This window comes from Homo sapiens, chromosome 10 (assembly GCF_000001405.40).
Source record: "Homo sapiens chromosome 10, GRCh38.p14 Primary Assembly".
Taxonomy (NCBI): Eukaryota; Metazoa; Chordata; class Mammalia; order Primates; family Hominidae; genus Homo; species Homo sapiens.
Genome location: NC_000010.11, coordinates 88,838,617 through 88,859,820, shown reverse-complemented (window position 1 = coordinate 88,859,820; position 21,204 = coordinate 88,838,617). Strand labels below are relative to the sequence as shown.

The 21,204-nt window shown below is 38.0% G+C and overlaps 1 protein-coding gene across 1 annotated transcript in view; it reads left to right on the top strand.

The window, feature by feature from the left end:
* Positions 1-7,976: 7,976 nt before the first annotated feature.
* The window catches only part of ANKRD22 (ankyrin repeat domain 22), a 31,949-nt gene continuing 18,721 nt past the window's right edge, over positions 7,977-21,204 (top strand). The window contains exon 1 of the mRNA NM_144590.3: positions 7,977-8,234. Within this exon, the coding sequence (NP_653191.2) occupies positions 8,214-8,234 (21 nt within the window). The 5' untranslated portion in view covers positions 7,977-8,213. The remainder of the gene's footprint in view (positions 8,235-21,204) is intronic.

Genomic DNA, 21,204 nt, shown 5'->3' with positions numbered 1-21,204 from the left:
AGGCGTGAGCCACCATGTGTGGCCCCCAAGTTATTCTTAGGCACATTACACAATGATGCTGAGGATGATACTAATGACAATGATAGAGAAAATACATAGATTACTGAGTGCCAGACACCAAGAATTCTTGCTCATCTCAAGGAAAAGGAAATCCTAGGAAACTGGTTCAATACTGGATTTCTTCAAAGCTTTGGAAAGGCTCAAGACACTTATAATTTGATTTAAAAAATAAAGATTTGTGATGTCTCTTATACACTAAATGTCAGCCGAATTTCTCTCTGTCACAGTTTTATTAGTCTTTTTAAATACTGCATCATACACCTGGCTCAAAACATAATTTTGGGGTTAAGAAATGTAAAGTAGAGGAGAAAAGAGGCTAAGAACATGGAAAAAAATCTTCTCTATAGTAGTATGATAAGTGCCTTATAAAATGGTTGGCCATGAATGAAGTTTTAGTCTTATAGTTTTTAAGTCTTTTAGATGCTCAATTCTTAGTCCTTTCAAAGCAATTTTAAAGTCGACAGAATAGAATGTTTTCTTTCAGGTTGGTGAATGGGTTCTGTTCACTTGTTTTGGTGGATTTGTGAGTGATAGAGGAAAAGAAAGAATGTTTTGATTTGATAATGAGGTATGTGATAGTATTTCTTTGGATAGCTGCCTTATTTCATGATAAAAGGTTGGTTGTAAAAGGTCTGAGTATTACCAAGAAGTAGCGGGGAAGTAGGTCGGATTTTAGAGAGGAAGGATAGGCATCTGGCCAACCTAAAGGCAGACTGCCATGACCTTAACAACTTAATTTAAAAAGAGAAGCAAACCTTCTCCCTCCAACACAGTCCAAATAACCCTTTATTATATATAAAAAAGGACAAAACAAATAAACAGACAAAACCTTGTGAAAATATGAGACTACATTTTATAGACTCAGAGTGGAATGTGATGCATGAACATTAAGGACCTGCCAGGGAGTTGAGATACAACATCTCTTTTTCAACCTGAAAAGGCACGTGAAATAAGAAAAAAAATGTAGTGCAAAGTTTAAAGTAGGCAGCACCCTTCATCTTAGGTCAGAGTAGTAGACTTATACCATAAAAAGTATAGCTTGTCTCATACTGTGAAACTGGTTTTACTACACAATTCCTGAGTCACTGGAGGAGTAATGGACAGTTTGCAGAAGCAGGTGACTATTTCTGGAAACAGTCATCGAGCACAACAGGATTTCTCAGTAAGGATTTATCAGTAATAGAGTTATTTCTTATTCTATTTTTACCAAGAAATGTAAACTCCCTTGTCTTAGATATATTATCTCATAAATTAAGAAACACAAATCACAACATTTCAATGACTATGGGACATTGATCATGACATGTACTCTGTGTGTTTTCATTAAAGCAAATGATAATAACTAATGCTGCAAGTACATGGTAGAGGATGACAAAGAAATAGAACACAGCAAGAAATTAAGTGTTGCATAAGTGGTAAACAATTAAGTGGCTTATTTTTAATTTAAACTTATAATGCCAATATTTTTATTTTAAGGACTGGCTGATACCATTTCCTCCTCCATAGAAAAAGTTTCTTAGTTACTAGAAAATTCAAAATTGATTCCAAATTTTACAAGATTTTTTGAGTCTTGGGAGAGTTAAAGTGAATTAAATTAGAGACCAGGCCTGAAGAATCCCTGAGCACACAAAGTCAGTCAGGCCTCATAAGTGACCTTAACCTTGCTTGATTTGCAAACATAAGCAAAACTTATTTGGGCCTTTTCTTTTAAATCTCTATATTAAAGAAAAAGGAAACTTAAAGTTAGCTAATCAGAAGTCACCACCTAATTAGCATATGGCTAGGGACTTTTCAGCAGAATAAACCAAATAAGGCAACTGCATTACTATAATCAATCAAATATTTTCTTTGCTTTAATTCCATGTTCATCTTTGTTCCCCTTGCATTTCCTCCAAAGAGATCCCAAACCACTTCTGGTTTGGTGCTGTCTAATACATGAATTGTTATTTGTTCAAATCAACTCTTTAGAGTTTTATTGTGCCTCAGTTTACCTTTTAAAAGGAATAAAGACCCTATGTTAGTGTAAAGCAATAATTACTATTGCAATTTGGCCTCTGACTCCTGTACTTAACTTAAAGTTAACATTCAAAATCAAAAAGCCTCCACAAGTAAGAGAAAAATAGAAAAAGATAGCAGGGTTCCAATGCTTAAAACTCAGAAACATAAACATCCTGATTAGCAAATGTACTTATTTAATTAAATAGTAACTGTCAACATTAAAAGGCATACAATAAAAAATGTCCTTGAGTGAGTTAAAGAAGAAATAACTCTGTACAACCAAGGACTTTACAAAGTTTTAGAGGAAAAAAATAACTTTAATAAGGTTTCCCAACTCTTCTATTTCTTACATTGAGGATTATTAATCTAATGCTAATGACCCTCAAAAAGCTTAATCTCTAGTGTAACCCTTACTCTAAAACTCCAGAATCATATAACAAGCTTTCTATTGGCATCTCCACTTAGTGTGCTAGAAATATGTTCCTTAAATAAAATTTGTGCATACCTGAGCTAATCATCTCTTCCCAGGCTTTCCCTAATCTTGCTCTTCCAGAGTTTTCTTTGAAAGATAAAAATCTACCAAATTTCCAAAGCCAGATACATGCATATTATCCTTGTTCTGCCATTTCCCATGTATCTTATATCAGATGGATAATTCTGTTATTTCTAGCTTCTAAACATCTCCATAGTACTATGTTAGTCCAACTTAAGTAAAGAAAACAACCTAGTTATTTAAACACAAAGAATTGAATGTCTGGAATTGGTTAAGTAGGTATTGGAAGACTAGAAAGTAAAAAGAGAATATTAAGGTAACACAGAGATAGAATTGCAGGAACAGCTACCACCCCTTGGACTGAGGGAACAGAGTGAGGTTGGGGTTATTAGAACTTAGGAGAGAAAAGGGCCTTGAAATTCTGGGCCCCAGGCCTTGAGGAGGGGCCATTTCTTGGTAGCTGCTCATACCTCAGAATCGCAAGGAAGGAATTGCATGAATTTGGGTTCGGGGAGAGAAACAATTAGTGCTGGGCACCTCTGAAAGGTATAAATAGGCTGGTTCTGGGAATGTGGAAAATAAGCTCGATCAATTGCTTTTTCTTGGATGAAGAGCTATTGGTGGGATGAGGCCGATAGGATTGCAAGCATATAGAAATGAGTAGATCTCTTTCTCCCTCTTTAGCGTTGTAATCTCACATGGAGTGCTCCTTAGAAAATAGACCAGGTTTCAAGAAAGGGTCATATATGCAAAGCAATCTCCAAACAAGGAAGGAGCCAAGAAACCAAATAATAAGGCAGACAAAATCAGTTTTTTGATAAAGGGTAATTTATTGGGGGAACTTACAGACAGAAGTGTGGCCTGCAGTAGCAAGACAAATAGATCTCCACACCAATACACCCCAGACCCCGGGCTTATATATCATAAGGAAAGGGGATACATGCTCTATAGAGACAATTAAAGACAACCCCCCAGAACAGGCAAGAGTGCTGTGTGCATCATAACCTATATTTGTGTGATAACATCAAGTTTGCTTTGGTCTAAAGGCAGGATTTACAGTAAGTATGTGTTCTTACACTAAGGACAGTAAATAAAGTAGGAATCCGAAGGCATTTATGGGACTGGGGTTAATGAGAAGTCAACATGGTGGATTAGCATCCAAGATGAAGTTAATTTTGTCTCCACATACCAGTAGGAAAAAAAAAAAGCTAGCTTGCAGAATGCCAGGGTAGGCATTGAAGAACCAAACATAGAAAAGTGTGTTCAATGCTAGGAGATAGCTTAATAACTCATAGTTGGCAAAGTCTGTTATTTCTACCTCCTAAACTCTAGAGTTTATCCTATTCTCTCTATCCACACTGCTGCTCTTCTGCCCCAGGTAACTATTATCATGCAGCTGACCTAATGCAATAACCTCCTAACTAGTTGCTGTTTCTTTTTTCCTGCCTCAGATCCACTCTCTGTACAACAGCCAGAGTGAGCTTTATTATATAAATAAAATTCTGATTACAACACTCCTCTACTCAAATCTCTCCAATGGGAGCCAATTTTACAGTAAGTAGCTAGTCAGACATGAGCAGAGTAGGAGAGGGCTCCCCCCACCCACCAGGAATGTCAGGTGAACATCAGGTGATAGTAAGGAGGTTGTTAACCGTCTCTCTAAAATAATAGTTGAGGGCCAGGCGTGGTGGCTCATGCTTGCAATTCCAGCACTTTAGGAGGTCGAGGTGGGCAGATCACCTCAGGTCAGGAGTTTGAGACCAGCCTGGCCAACATGGTGAAACCCCGTCTCTACTAAAAATACAAAAATACAGGTGGCAGGTGTCTGTAATCCCAGCGACTCTGGAAGCTGAGGCAGGAGAATCGCTTGAACCTGGGAGGTGGAGGTTGTAATGAGCTGTGATTGTACCACTGCACTCCAGCCTGGGCAACAGAGCAAGACTCCATCTCAAAAAAAAAAAAATTATATATATATATATATATATATATATATATATAAAATAACAATTGGTCACAGCCAGTGCCAGGGAAAGGCAGTCTCCCAATAGACAGAAAAAACTTGAAACTGGTGATCAGCAGCTTCCTGATAAGATCTCAGGAGTTGGGCGAGTGGGTTCAAGCATGCACATTAAGAGGCAGAATGGCAGAGTTTAACTGGTATATTACCTTCTAGGGACATTCAGCTGGTAAGAGAAGAGTGCTTCAAGTAAGCATGCATACAACTCCAGTAAACACACTGTGCATGCTCCCCTCCCAAATCCTGGTGGGCCACTGCACATGTGGACAGCCCACCAAAGGGCAGAATCAGGGGAGAAGGAATGCAGGACCCTGGAAGTATGCCAACGTATAAAAACCCCGAGTCAAAAGTCAAACTGCACACTTGTCTTTCAAGTTGCCCACTTGGTCCTCTTCCAAATGTACTTTACTTTGTTTATTCCTGCTCTAAAGCTTTTTAATAAACTGTCGCTCCTGCTCTAAAACTTGCCTTGGTCTCTTCTTCCATCCTATGGCCCCCAGTTGAATTCTTTCTTCTGAGAAGGCAAGAATTGAGTTTGCTGCAAACCCACACAGATTCACTGCTGGCTGGTGACATATTTTGGTGCCGTGTGACTCAGATAACTTCCACTGCTAATGTCAATGTTGGACAATGTTAGATAATGTTGAAGGATTAAGATATCAGCGTAAAACTGAGTTTCTGTGGACTATACTTCTTTGTTATGCTCTACTGAACCCCTCTTGGGGGGAAGTCTTTGGGATACACCTTACAAGAGACTCATCTCTCACAGACAGTTGGCTGCTGGTCAGTGGAGGTTGGCTGCATTTACAGCCAGGATCAAAGGATGCCACTAATTTTAAGTCCCTAGTGTTTAATTCAGATTAAACACTAGGTTTATTTCTTGACAGAAGACATTTGTCTTCTTGACAGTGTTATTTCTTGACAGAAGACATTTACCTGTGAAAGCTGTTTTCTGGAACTTCTTTTCTTTACCTGTCTTTGTAATTATAGGCTCAAAATTGCCAGAGGAAGAACCCTAAACACTTAAAAATATATCTGTTTATCCAACTTCATTCTGACAATATGCCTCCGTATTCCAATTTGACACTATAGTTTACGAAGTCCTCTTCCTTCACCTTTAATTCTCCTTTTGGCTTAGACTAGAGTTTCTCTACATTAGCACTCTTCTGAGCTGGGTAATTCTTTGCTCTGAGAGGCTGTCCTGTGCACTGTAGGATGATTAGCAGCTTCCCTGGCCTCTGCTCCCCACATTAGAGTACCATGCTCCCACTCCTAGTTGTGACCACCAAAAATGTCTCCAGACATTGCCAAATGTCTTTAGTTTCCAATAAAACGACGTTCTCCATTAAGCAACATAATTTTTTAGTGTATGTATGTCCCATATGACATTTCAGAAATTTATCTGAAATTCAAATTTAACTGAACATCTTATCTTTTTCGTTGCTAAATCTGCAGTCTATCTGGGGGCGAGATAACCCCTGGTTGAGACCCAATGGCCTAGAGTTAAATCCAAGTGTTTTACAAATAACAATGAGTCAACTGCTTTTTTCATTGGTTTGTTTTTTGAGCTAACCCTACATCATTTGCAATTATAATGAGTACTGTTCCTTTAGAACCAGATGTTGTCAAGAGATGCAGAATCTAATAAAATGAGTTTTGATCCTGATTGAAAGTTAAAGAAACATTTAGAGCTCAGTCAGGGAGGAAAGAGCTTGAAGAAGAAAGCTAGCAGCAACCTTAGGAGAGAAGCAATGACAGTGAAGAGTTCTGTCCACACAAATTAGTTGAAAGAGGTTACAAAAGAGGCTACCAGAGGTTACAAAATATTGCATAACAGAGTGAAGTACCCAATGGATATACCATTAATGTTTTTCTAAGTCAATGGGAAGACACTTAAATGTCTTAAGAGTCTACAGAAATACAAAATCAAACCAAGCCAAAGAGGAAGTCAGCTGCAATTTTAGTGGGTATTGCAGACTTCCCTCTCCTCCAACGGAAGAATTAGCTAATTCTTAAACTCCAGAGAGGCTGGCCTCGATGTCAACTGCATAGTGAAACATAAAATCTTTGAAATAATTATAAAAATAGCTCAGTATATCCACCAGTGGAGTAAGAAGAATTTCCCTGAATATTTATAAGCACAGGCCTAGTATCCTGGTCACTAGTTTCTGGCCACTAAGGAGCCTCAACTGATTGGGAAAATCACATCAATTGGTTTGAGATGGTTGAACTATTTCTTCCATGATATTATTGAGCAAATAGGCTTGCTGCCCCCTGCTCACAGAAGCCAATATCTGGACACTGGGTTTTGAGGAAAGAAAAACTTTATTGCAAGACAGGTCAGCAAGGAGACAGGAGGTGGGCTCAAATCTGCCTCCCCAGTTTGGAATCTGAGAAAATGTATGGCTTAGAGGGTGAGGGAAAGGATTTAGGAATGTTGGTTTGGCAGGGACTGATTGAAGGGCTTCAAATTTGACCACTAAAGGTAAGGTATGTTGAGGCAGATTTCAGCCCTGGATCTTTTGGGCCAATGAGCCCCTAGCTTCTGAAAGAGGTCCTGCATTTAGGTTCCCGTCATGTCCTTGTCTTCTTGGTTCCCAGGGGAGGGATCATTTGTTCTAGGTTCTGTTAGAGGCAAAAACATTTTTATTGTGCATGCCTGGGCTAAATGACTTACAGTTTTTGGCTCTGTTATATCTACAGAGTAAATTGACATTTGTTATCAACAAAGTACGGCCCATTTGGGCTGGTCCCATGGTTATAATGGGTGTGTGGACGGTCGAGTGTTTCAATTCTGGGAAAGTTTGATGTGATTGTATTCAGTTCAAGGAAAATGTGTGAATGATATCATATATAGCATATAAAATGTTTACAATATTTAAGAGATTGGGCATACTAGCATGTTTGATAAATAAATTGATGATGCAATTTAAAATGCATAACAGAGTATTTGATTTTAGACTTATGATTTTTAAATTGAATATTATAAAGTAATTTGGCTAAATGTGTGAATAGTATTGGAATATTTAAAACAACTTAAGATTTATTATGTTAGTAAATTTATTAGTTTACAAAACTGCATAAATAGCTGGAAAAGCGTTACTTGTTAGGCTGAGAATTTTGAAGATTATTTTTCAAGTTCTTTGCCAGACACGTGTGGCTCTCACAAGTAAGTTTGTTGGTCTCTAGCCTTTCTCAATGGCCACTGAAAACCAGATTTTGATTACGAAATGTCTGAAATACAGTATCTTGGTTTGAACCGTGAGTCCTTCCTGCCAATGTAAGAACTTTTCTTCCTCCCTTAACTTTGCTTCCTTCTTTCCTGCATGTTACCACTGGCAGAGCAAATATGACTCAGAAACCGGCTCCTCAGGGTTGTAACATTAGATGATACAGGCTTGGGTCGTTACACATGACACCAGTGCCTTTGTTTCATTGGGCTGGGCTCTCTGGAAGGTGTGCTGCTGCCTGAGCTGCTGGAAAAGCACTGACAGGTGTTTGCTAGAAAAGCACTCCTGGAGCTTGCCACCAGCTTGGACTTCTAGGGACTTTCCTCTCAGCCAGGAAGGATTTTGATATTCATCAGAAATACCTCCAGAAGATTCAAGGAGCTGTAGAGGTGAAGTAAGCCTGTGAAGGACCAGCATGGGAATCCTATACTCTGAGGTACATCACCTTTCTGAAAGCAGAGTTCCAAAGATGTTAAAAGTTACTCATGCTTTTCAGATGCAATTTTCTATCCCTGTTAATATATTTCTGTTTTGTCTGTTCAACTCCCTGGGGGAGCATTAAGTCAGAAAAAATAAAGTCCTATGTGTTATTCTTGTTGATATTCTTAATAGTTTAAGACAAAGTATTTTGTAATTCTAAAATATTAGCTAGATCTAAGTTGAGATGAATATAATACACATTTCATAGTATCTGGATGTTTGCAAGGATAATTTGGACAAAATCGAGTTTGAGTTGTGCTTTTCTCATGACAAACACTCAGAGAAAAAGAGAAAATTGTACTCAATTGGATTTTCTAAATATCCAAAAGATTGACTGCCTCTTTTATGGAACCACATGACCAGAGTAATGCCTTTCAGCTTGGTATTTGAAGGGAGATTCACCTTTAGTAAATATTAGTAAAGACTATCACTATGAAGAAGAGGAATAATAACATATTTTGATGATTTGATTATTTTCTTTTCACATCTGATAAATACTGAGGTACTTTTACTTGTATTGGAAGTAACTTATTAGAATCAAATGGATTTTTAATGATGTTTCAAGAAAGTACAAGCAAGGAATGTTTAGACAAGAGTACAAGAGGTGTAATGATGTCATTATACATAATTTACTCTCTCTCTCCTCTGACACAATTAACTGGTTAATCTGCATTTCATTGCAGATGCTCAGGGGAACCTTCTTGGATAGTTTTGATCTAGTATTAAAGACAGTTTATTTGCAGTTATTTCTAATGCCATGTGTGTATATATCTCTCCGTGTGTGCAAATGCAGTGTTTGATTGGTTTATAACTCTAGGTATGTCTTGCTCAGTGATTTTAGCCTCATGAAGGGATCATATACATGAAAATGACAAAACATATAGTGCTTTTAAATGCTACTCTGGTAACTCTCAAACTTTAGACTGCCCAAGTGTCAGGGAGAGAAGTTTGTTTGAAATGCAGTTTCAAGGGACTCCAACCCAGAGAGTCTGTTTCACTCAGTCTATGGTAGGATACAAAAGTATACTTTTTAAAAGGAGCATCCCAGGTGGTTCTGACATAGGGGTGATCTGTTTACCACCATCCTGAGAAAGAAAGACTGCCACAGGCCAGTGCTTTCCCGTTTTTAATGTCTATACAGATCTTCTGAAGGTCTTGTTTAAATGCAGATTCTTAGTTTGTAGACCTGGGTGGGACCTAAGATTCTGCATTTTGGTTGCTTTTTCAGATTGCATGTGGGAATTATATGTGATTTGGAAAAAGGAAAAAAAAAAGCCTAGTCTCATCCTCAGGTATTCTGATGTAGAAAGTTGGAAGTAGGACCTTTCATCTATAGTTTTAAAGAGTTTGAGACTCTTTAAAATTAAATAGTAATCTCTTAAATATTTAAACATAGCCTACTCATTTGTAATATATCATTTGCTCTGTGTTTCCTAAGGATAAAGATTGTGAGCTACTCATTAAGGACAAGAAAAAAGCCTGCTGGATCCCTGGTCCTATGTTGCCTGGAAGAATCTATTCAAAAAAAAAAAAAAAACTTCCCCCAATTTGAGTGCGGGAAGCTCCTCTAGATTGGGGACATAGGGTTATCATTTTTCCTTAGAGCTTTGCAGTGCTAATAGTTATGCAATATATATTTTTAAGAAAGAAGGAGAGAATGAGGGAGGATCCCAGAGAGCTGGTCCTGAAATCTGCACTAGAGGATAAGCTTAGAGCTCAGTGAGAGGCCCTAATTTTGAATAAGTAACTCCAACTGCGTAAGATGGACTTTTAAACAAGGCTGATTCATTTAAACCCTTATCAAAGGTATTTGTTCATAATATTTACAATAGCAACAAACATGTATTTAGGGCTTCTTATAGATTAGGCCCTATTTTAAGCACTTTATATATGTATTAACTCATTTAATACAGCAATCTTGTAAGAGTCACTTTTAGTATCCTTATTTTACAAATGAAGAAACTGAGGAAAAGGTAGTCACTGGCTCATAGTTACACAGTTGAAAAGTGCTTATTGGCTGGAGATTGGTGGCTAGGATGAGTCCTGTGTTTACTCATTCAAAGAGATTCTTCTTACATCACTGCTGAACTACTAAATTTTTCTACTACTTGTTATTTCAACAGATATGTCATGCTCCATAAGAGAATTGGTCTTAACCACTCTGGTGTTCTGCCACTGTTCTAACCAGGATGGTGCCCTGTTCCCTTAGTGGAAAGAATGAGTAAACTAAATCCAGGTCCAATGAGGTACATTCTACTGCTACCTTGCAACAGAGAACTGTTGCATTGTGAAGTAGCACAAAAATCGGAAAGAAGAAAAATGCTGAGAACTTAAAAGAGTTCAGGAACTAATACTTAGGAGACTTAAAGAATCTTTTACAGACTTTTGGTCTCTTCAGTTGCAGACACAGGCCCCAAAAAGCGTTTCTTGAAAATCATATCTTAAATGATGTATTCCTTTAAACATTGGGAAGTTCTCATTATAAGGCTGTAAGTAAAAGGATGCACACACACCCACACACACACACACACACACATGCACATGCACACACACAAACTTAAAATTAATCCTTTGGCAATGGATATGTTTTTCAGAGAAGCTGATGTTACTACAGAAAAAGGAAATATAGTTCAAAAAACAGAAAGATTGTCTTGAAATATACAATGCCTAGGGAGAGCAATTTAGATCAAGCAAGTTTTATTGGAAAAGCTGGTACAGTTGAGGAGGAGAAGTCAGGGAATACAGGAATAGAGATGTGACTAATTGAATGGCCATTGGACTGAAAGTCAAGCAATCCTATATTTTAGACCTGATTGTGCCAGGAACTTCAAGGGATTTGAGAGGAAGTCATTTAACCTCTCTGAGTCACAGTTTTAATATTACAAAACAAGAGAGCTGAATGAGATCTGGTTTCACATTTAACATCGTGTCATTCTGTGATATGAGAAAGGCTAGGCAGAGACAATGGGGAAAAAATTGCATTCTCACAATCTTCCCAGCTCTCTCCATCTACCTTGTTTATGTATGAACTCCTAGCAAGATTTTGGTATTCAACAACATATGCAAGAAGAGCATCAGGCGTTTTCATCCCAACTGGTTTTCTAATTCTTTCCTTGTATATTGAAAGTAATTTTACAAATTAAAATGTTGTGCTAAGTCACAAAAGTTCAGAGAGAAAATGATAACTTTCACATATGAAAAGACACCAGGATTGAAAATGTGTATACCTTTATTTATTTATTCATTCACCCATCCATTTGTTTAATCAACCATATTTATTGAGTACATACTATGTTTCAGGCATCTTCTAGTTCCTGGTGTATATATGTATATATATATGTATATATACATATATACATATATATATACACATATATACATATATATATATACACGCATATATGTTGGGCATCCCTAATCTGAAAATTTGAGTGGAAGTGCTCCAAAACTCCAAATTTTTGAGCACAAACATGAAACAAGTAGAAAATTTCCTACTTGACCTCATGTGATGGGTCACAGTCAAAATGCAGGTACACAATGCACAGTTTACTCAGAATTAACAAGAGAAAAAAGAATTTCCCAGCCCCTTTCGGCTGTGATATATCTTTTTCTTGAACACCCAGTTTTTCCCATGAAAGCAAGTCCACAAAGGGTAAAAAATGGCACCTGTGCAGGATGAATGAGCCTATAGCAGATTTGCCACTCTGCCTCCATGGGGCCAAGATTTGTGTGTATTTCTCTGTGTGTGTCTTTTTTTGTTTTTTGGGGTTTTTTTTTATTTTGTTTTTGTTTTGCTTTTTCTCTACTCTGTGATGTAAATATACTGTTGAAAATATCAAAAAGGTCTGCAGATACTTATGGGTAACAGTGATAAGAAAAAAAAAGGAAGCATTTATGTATACTTATAACACAGAAAGTCAAGCTTTTGGATAAATTGGACAGTGGTATAGGTATAAAATGTCTGATAGAAGAGTATGGTGTTGAGGCCAGGCGCAGTGGCTCATGCCTGTAATTCCAGCACTTTGGGAAGCTGAGGCAGGTGGATCACCTGAGGTTGGGAGTTTGAGACCAGCCTGGCCAACAAGGTGAAACCCTGTCTCTACTAAAAACAGAAAAATTAGCTGGGTGTGGAGGCATGTGCCTGTAATCCCAGCTACTTGGGAGGCTGAGGCAGGAAAATTGCTTGAACCTGGGAGGCAGAGGTTGTAGTGAGCTGAGATCACATCACTGCACTCCAGCCTGGGCAACAGAGTGAGTCTCCATCTCAAAAAAGTAACAATAAAAAAAGAGTATGGTGTTGAAATGACCACCATATATGACTCAAAGAAATAGAAGGATAAACTGTTTAAGTCCTATGCTGAAGTTAATGAAAAATGTAAAAAAACATTCCACAAAGCTACAAATGAAGATCCCAATTGTGTATTGAGAAAGTGGATCCATCAGTATCACAAAGAACACATGCCACTTAATGGTATGCTGATCATGAAACAGGAAAAGATCTATCACGATGAACTGAAAATTTAAAAGAACTGCGAATATGCGTAGTTCTTTGGCATAAATTTAAGAAAAAACATGGCATTAAATTTTCAAATATTTGTAGTGACGAAACATCTGCTGATCAGAAAGCAGCAGAGAAATTTATTGATGAGTTTGCCAAGATCATCACTGATAAAAATTCTCACACTAGATCAAGTCTATAGTGCTGATGAAACATCACTGTTTTGGCATTATTGCTTCAGAAAGACACTGACTTCAGCCGATGAGACAGGCCTTGTGGGCAATCAGGATACCAAGGACAGGATAATTGCGCTGGGATGTGCTAATGCAGCAGGCACACACAAATGTAAACCTGCTGTAATAGGCAAAAGCTTGAATTCTCACTATTTTCAAAGAGTAAATTTCTTACTAGTCCATTATCATGCTAACAAAAGGCATGGGTCACCAGGGACATCTTTTGTGATTGTTTTCACAACATTTTGTAGCAATGGCTCATGCTCACTGCAGGGAAGCTGGACTGGATGAAGGCTGCAAGATTTTGTTATTCCTTGACAACTTTTATGCTTATTCTTCAGCTAAAATTCTCATCAAAAGTAATACTTATTCCATGTGCTTTTCCCCAAATGTGACTTTATTAATTTAGCCATGTGAGAATGGTGTCCTTAGATCAATCAGTGTAAATATAAAACATTTTCGTAAACAGTATGTTATCAGCAGTGAACATAGGTGTGGGTGTTTCGCATAAAGGATGTTGTATATGCTGTTGCCAATGCTTGTAATGCAGTAACTAAAGACAGTTGTGCATACCTGGCATAACCTCTGTCCTGCAACTATGTTCAGTAAGTATTATAAATAAAGTGACTTTGAATGATTCTGTATGTCAAATGAGAAAAAAAAAAGATGTCTGACCATACATACGCAAAAAAAAGTACCTTCAGAGTCCACCAGTAAGTTGGAAGAAGTTGATATTGAAGAAATTTTTAACACTGATAATGAGGCTCCAGTTGTTCATTTATTAACCAATGGTGAAATAGCTGAAATGGTTCTGAATCAAGATGATTGTGATAATAGCAATAATGACGATGGTGGTTAACACTGTAAAGACTTTGTCAGGGGCCAGATCAGGCAGGTCTTGTAGGCCAAGGTGAAAAATTTAGATTTTATGCAAAACACAATGGAAAGCGGGTAAAGGATCTTAAGAGAGGAATAATATGACCATTAGGGTTTAAAAAGGCCACTCTGGTAGCATGGGAGAATAAATTTGAGAGATGCCAGAGGGAAAGCTGGATCTTGGAAGGAAGCTGTTACAGTAGTTTATGGAGTGATAATGATGGTTGCATTAGACTAATGGGTGAATTTTAGATAAATTTTTAACTAAAAGATTTCCTGGTTTGTAGGTTGGCAGTGAAGGAAAGTAAGAAATTAAAGTTGATACTCAGTATTCTGCCTTAGGCCAGCCAGTGGATGGTGGTGCTGATGAGATGGGAACACTCAGAGAGGGGCAGAAGGAAAGACACATTTCAGGGTTCTATTTGGACATGGTACTTTAGCGATATCCATGAGACATCTAGGTGGGGATGGAAGATGAATACAGGAAATGTACCTTTAAGGAGAGGCTCGGGCAAGAGATAATAATTTAGGAGTTGTCTGCATATACATGGTATTTAACGCCAAGAGAAGGGATGAGTTTAGACATGGAAAGAATGTAGAGATAGCAAAGGATACCAGGTCATTGTAGGAAGGTATGGTCTTGCCAGAGAAGGAAGGCAATATTAAAGGACAACCTCCTTTGAGCACCCTTGGAGCTTGTAACACTCAAGAAACATACGCATTTAGTCAAACAGGAGATTTTCTGGGGTTGAGGGGGAAACACATTTTTCTTTATTCAACATTGAAAACTTAGGGAGTTTCAACTTTTGTATGTGAAGTGAGCTGATCAGCACCAAAAGTGGTGAGGAGAAGTGAGTTTCTCAAGTTTTGTAAGAGGACAGGACAAGACAAAAACAGCTTGTGCCCCAGAAGTTCTCCTTGTCTAAGAGCCCACAGCAGGAATGTATAATTGTTAAGAAGCCAGCTAAGAAGCCAGCTGTTGAGCTCAGAAAGACAGGTTCAAAGCTCATCTCCACTATTATCAAGGAGAAAGTGGGAGAGAAAAAAATCCCCGAATAAACTTGTTTTCTAAGGGGAAAAATAAGTCATTTTATTTGTATATGCCTTCTACAATATAAGCTTTTATTTCATATATGTGTGCATATCTATTGAAATAACAAATAATTTTCAGCTAGAAAAATTGTGGCTTTTTTTTAATCAACTAAGGAAATCCCACTTGTAATTTTAAAGGAAATCTAGATTATCTGAGATGAGATAAGAAGGCATAAAAGGGATCTTTTACTTTTAACCATAAAGATTCCTTAGATTCTAAACAATAATTACTTTAATTAAAAATCTGTAATGTTTACTTATGTTATAGAAACAGCTCTTGATACATAGCTCCCCTAATCTTAAAGTTATTAAGATTAGAAATACCTTTTTTGGAAAACTGAAAAAGAGATGAGAATGGGAGGCGTTTACTATTTGGAAACCCATAAAGTACTATTTAATACAACAAAATGGTTTACATACTAATTAACTGGGAAGTCTTAACACTAACTTTCTAAACTGAAGGTAGATTTTGTCAAAACTCTGCTAACATTTCCCATCAAACATAAAATAAAATTCAAAGTCCTAACCATGGTCTACGAGACCCAATTTTCCTTGGTCCCATTTGCTTCCCAAATTTCCCGCCACTCCCCTTGCTCATGCAGCCATGCTGACCTTCCTGCTATTCCTAGAACACATCAAATCGAGCTCTTGTCTCAAAGGGCTTGACAGTTGGATTCCCTTTGTCTGGAAGTTTCTTCCTCCTGAAAGTTACCTGGCTCATTCCTTCACTTAAGACAGATCATGGATCTCTGCTTGAATCTCACCTTCAAGAGATCTAAAAGAGTGGCTTTGTCATTCTTTATGTATTCTCTTACTGTGCTTTACTGAAGTATTATAATTTTTAAAAATGTCGGGTTTGTTAGATGAAAGTGGATTTGAGAGTCCTATGTGTTATGATTTTTATGATTCCCAGTTTGCAGGTTGCCGAAGAGAAAGGTATAATGATAGCTTCCCTGACCTAAATGTCGGTTTAATAAACATGTGTCTATCTTGTAGAAAATAATATAGTAGGTTATGTGAGAGTTACAAGAATGTAAGAATAAAACATTTGTTTTCTCCAAAGAATTTACTGCAGTCATAAGGCCAGACACAAATAATTCTCCCAATGAAATCCCTTGTGGGAAATTCTTGATGTTAGTTGATTTCTAATTTGCCACAACTCAACTTTCCTGCCTTTAATGGTCAAATTTATTTTAATTGGACTTTATAGTAATAACCAAAAACTTACTTGTTACACTGAAATAATACAACTAATCCTGGAACCCTAAAGTCCACACCCTTTTTTAGCTAATTGGTGCCACTAAAGTAAACAATTTTGAAAAATGAAAAAGATGCTAATTGCCTTGATGCACCATCAGACCACATGAATCTTCAGAATCAAGCAAGCATTTCTGCAAAGGCAACGTTTTCTCCCAACATGCTTAAGATTAGGCGTGATGAGGATTTGAAAGGGGATTTTAGCACTATGGTTTTGTGGCTTTACCAACAGTTGACCTTTGGCAGGTATCAAGATCATATTATGCTTAAAACAAGGTGGGATGAGGTCTTTCAGCAACCTCAGGACTTCCCGTTTCTATATATGTGAATGAGAATTTCTTCCGCCACAGAATATTCAAGACACAAGGAATTGGAGGTAAGAGTTGATTTTAGGAAAAGGAGGTGAAGTAGATGGCAGGCAAGAGAAGAAGCTTTTATAGAGAAGCCTTCCTTGAGAAAAGTAAATGAAGATGAGGTCAAGAAACAGTGGCTTCAGAGCTGCACGCTAATGGAAGTCAGCCCCTACCTGGGAAGTAGTGGTAATTTCTGGGACATAAAATCAGAAAGTCATCATACATTTGAATGAAGGACCAGAGAGGAAAAAAATAATTGTCTTCAGTATTAGTATGATCCAAAATGGAGTAAAAACTATTTGCAAATATATTATTGAAACTGCAAATCACAGTAGACCTATAAAATTTCCTGTAAGCAAGAATTGGCAAGTAACAATTCATAACACTATGTCTATTATTACCACATTACAATGTGTGAAATGTTACTGATATTTTTTTCCTGTCATTATTTTTCCAAGTATGTGAAACATTTATAGTTGTTTTTATAGGTTCACTTACATGCTAGTCCTCTAATCCAAATTCTTTAACTGAATTTAAGGGGATTTTAGTAATTTTGTTAACTCTGCAGATGCTTGGGAAGGTTTGTCGTATAACATGATACAGAATGTGATGAATGCTATTATGTACCTCTTGTGAGTATCTACTGGGTTTTCATCATCTCTGTATCCCTAGAGCCTAGCACAGTTCTCTTGGAAAGTATTGAGATCTCAAAGTCTGTTGAATTGAATTGAAGAAAATAATCAAGGACTATAGGCACTCCTGGAACTTTTGTGGGTAGAGTTTATTATAAATTAGTGCATGGAGTTGCATAGGAGTGGAGAGAGGCTTAATGGGTTAAAACACTGGTTCTGGAGTTAGATAGACCAGAGTATAAATTCTAGTTATGCTACTCACTAGCTATAAAGAGCTCTGAGCCTGTTTTCTCATCTGTAAAGAGGGATAATATTATTTTTGTTCTAAGATTGCTGTAAGGGTTAAATGAGATGCTGCTAAGGTGCTTAGCATTACAGATGGTATATAAAAAGAGTTCAGTATATAGTAGGTATTATTACTGTGAAACTTTTTACTGTTATTTTTTATTTTTCCCAAAGGAGACTTACATTTAGAGATTTAGTGCTAAAATACCTGTTTAGGTCCATTAAATGTTTAGAGACATTGGCTGCTGAGAGTTCAAATCCTGGGCCCTTCCCCAGCCAAACTGTCTTCTACGTTAAGAATAAGACAGTGTAGAAAAGTCTTGGGATGTCAAAAGGTAAAATGAGGCACGGTTAAGCTCAAAAGAATTTATTTGAGCAAATACCGATTCAGGAATTGGACAGCTGTGGTTTGCAGGCTTTTTGGAGGGAATGCAAGGAGAAGGCTTTTATAGGGTGAAAAAGGGAGTAAAGCACAGAAAATATTTGATTGGTTGCAGTTATAGAGTTGCTTTATTTGGTCGATTCTGCTGGAAAGTCTCTATGTAAGTTAGGCTTCTGATTAGTTAACTTGGTTTCATTTTTCTTTAATATAGGGATTTATAAGAAATAGCTGAAGTTAAGTTTTGCTTATGTTTGCAAATTGAGCAAGGTTAAGGTCACTTATGAGGTCTAAATGGATTTGTCTGGCCCAGAGATTCTTCAAGCCTGGTCTCCATTATAACTTACTTTAACGGAAATATATGCCAGTTCCTGTTGCTGGTGTATTGGAGCAGGCTGGAGCTGGCTTGAGTCAGCTTGAACTGGTTTGTGAAAGCCAATTTTGCTCAACTCTGAGTTCGTTGCTCTCTCTTTTGTAGGTTGAAACTAGCCAGGTGGGAGTGGTTACACCAATGAAATGGAAGAAGACCACAAAGGTTTTCTTTCTTTCTTTTTTTTTCTCTTACTCCCTCCTTTTGTAGAACTGGATGTTACCTAGTTATGGGCACCCTACTGCCTTCTCTCTTCTCTGTGAATACCTCTGTGGTGGTCTGAGGTAGTAGGGGAATATCAGGGCTTCTGATTTGCCATTTTCTAGCAGCCAGAACCCACTCTTCCTCCACCCTTACTCCTCGCTGGAGGTGAAGGATCTTCTGCTTTCCCCTGGTCCTCATGACCTCAGAGTTTCTGATGTCCTGGAGTCAGAAGTGTGGCAATGGGGTTTTTTTAGCTTCCTGGCAAGGAACATAACTTCATGTTCTCAAACAGACCTTTCAGGATAAAGAGTAGAAAACATAGATCAATATGTGCCCTGCTTCTATTTCCCCTTCTGCTATCGTTCATGAGGAACTATGACTTCTCTACACGTTCCAGCCAGTGGTGGGACCTTCCTCCATGTTACACAGAGACGGAGTGGGCCTAGAACAGCCTTTAAAAAATTATTGCGACTTTTTTATTTGTCTGAAAGAAGACATTTCCTAAGGAATTTATAAAATACAGTATGTGAAGAGTGAGTTATCAGAAACAAAGGCTTGGGATTAATTGTAGAAATCAAATTAAACCCAATAGGTTTTTATTATCATTCTCCAAGGTTTCTTAACTTGAAGAGAAAGAAAAACATCTTCCTTCCTTTTCTGAGAAGACATTTCGTGAATCACAAGGCTCTTTACCGGAATCATTTTGCTCCAAAACCTACAAATCCTTCTCAGAAGTTTTCATGGAACATTTTAAGTGAGGGGAGCTTGTAGCATGGAGATGGCTAATAAACAGTGAACCAATTCCTCTGAGCCACAGGCAAAGTTCTACACAGTCTTTCCTTAGATTGGGAATTACAGAAGCTCCATTATACTTTAGGGAAAACAACACTAAAAAGTGGGGGTAATTTGGGGGAAGCTTTGCTTTTAAAGACATCCATAGTGGTACAAGTTGTTCAGATGTTTCTACACTATTAAAATAACAACAAATATTTTTTCAGCTGTGATATCTATTGTACTTAGAGCAGTGCAAAATATTATTAAGTAATACATACAGTTAATCATCAACATGCTGATTATTTTAGTTAATCATCAACATACCGGATGCGTCATATTCTACCCATGGACGCTTCTTAAATTTTAGTGCCTGGGCAAGTAAGATGGAAGTGAACAGAGTGAAACCTTACCTCCAAATTCTTGACTCCTTTTAAAGACAAACATGTGGGAAGGCAAAAGGACACAAAAAATTTTTCCTAATGTTCCATTATTCCAGAGTTTTGAATGCTCCTTAGCTAATGTGAGTTTAAAAGCTGCAATGTTACATTAAATTTTTACTTCCATTATGGGGGGCTTGTTTCTTTTACCTTTGCAGAGATTCTCAACCCTCACTGTGCATCAGAATCACCAGGGAAATTTAAAGAGCACTAATGCCCCAATCCTATTCTTACAGATTCTTATTTAACTGGTCAATAGTGGGGCCTGGGTCGTGTTTTAAACATTAAGTTGGTGCAAACATGATTGCAATATTTAGCCAAGGTTGAGAACCACTGAGGCGAAATATTGTCCTGGTCCTTACATGATCGATTACCTTCTAAACATCAACCCCTTTCCTAGCCTCACTTCCCAGCCAGATCGGATGAATCCATGTGTCAACCAACAAATGACTTTTATCCATGTTCTGGGTGCTTGACCTTATGGAAGCCTAACTTCAGGAGGGTTACAGTCTAGTTAAGGAGACTACATTTAACCCACTAGCTCATTTAAGGCCAATGAGCTGCTTGAGGTTCTGTATATTTCCTGCTGCAGGTAGGAAAGATGAAAGAGATTTCTTGGAGATGAACCATGAGATGGGCCTTGAAGAATAGATAGCACAATTTAAAAGATAAGGATGGCAAGCCAGTAGCCCAAACATAGAAGTGAGGAAATTGACCTGACCAGAGATGGGAGAGCTTGCAGAACAGCAGTGGTTTATACACAGTTGGCCCACTGAGGGGCACTTTAAAAACCAGGTAAAAGTCATAGATACCTCACTTTCTAGGAACTTGGGCACATTACACCCCATTTCAATACCAATTAGTGCAATTTAAAAAGATAAAACAAGATTATGTGAGAGAGAGAAAGTTCCTGGGCTGGGAGGCTGAGTGGTCAGGGAAGTCCTCTCTGAGGAGGTGATTCATGGGCTGATACTTGATCTGGCCTAGCAGGAAGCCCGCCATATAGGTCACATGCAAGTGTAAAGGCCAGAAGACAGAAATGAACCTGGAATGCCCCAGAAATCACCACAAAGTTGTGAGCAAAAGGGAGATTGATAGATGAGGCTGAAGAGAAAAGTTAGTCAGTGGGCCCTATCAATCCTGTGTCTTAGCTTTTCAGGTTGTCCAGAGCACGGCTCTAGGGAGCGCTGTTCACAGGTTAGCCCATGGGAACTCATGCACCCTGCTGGTAAATACTCCTTCTCTTCAATCTCCTCCTCGCCTACTAGTCTGTTTTCCTCTGTGCCTTCACTGAAATCTGGCTTTTCCTGGGCATTATGACACCTTCTCTTATGGTGGCTGCTGATTCAGTCTACTTCTTGGTCACCGTTGTTTTTTGACCATGGTTCAATTTCTTACTTGAAATCTCTGCTTATGGCCCTTTCTCTACATTCTCCCTTCTGTCCACTGTATTCCAGGGCCCACTTCCACCTCCCTGGAACACAAGTTCCCCTTTCTTTCTGTCCCCCGGGGTCATCCTCAGTGACCTCAACATCC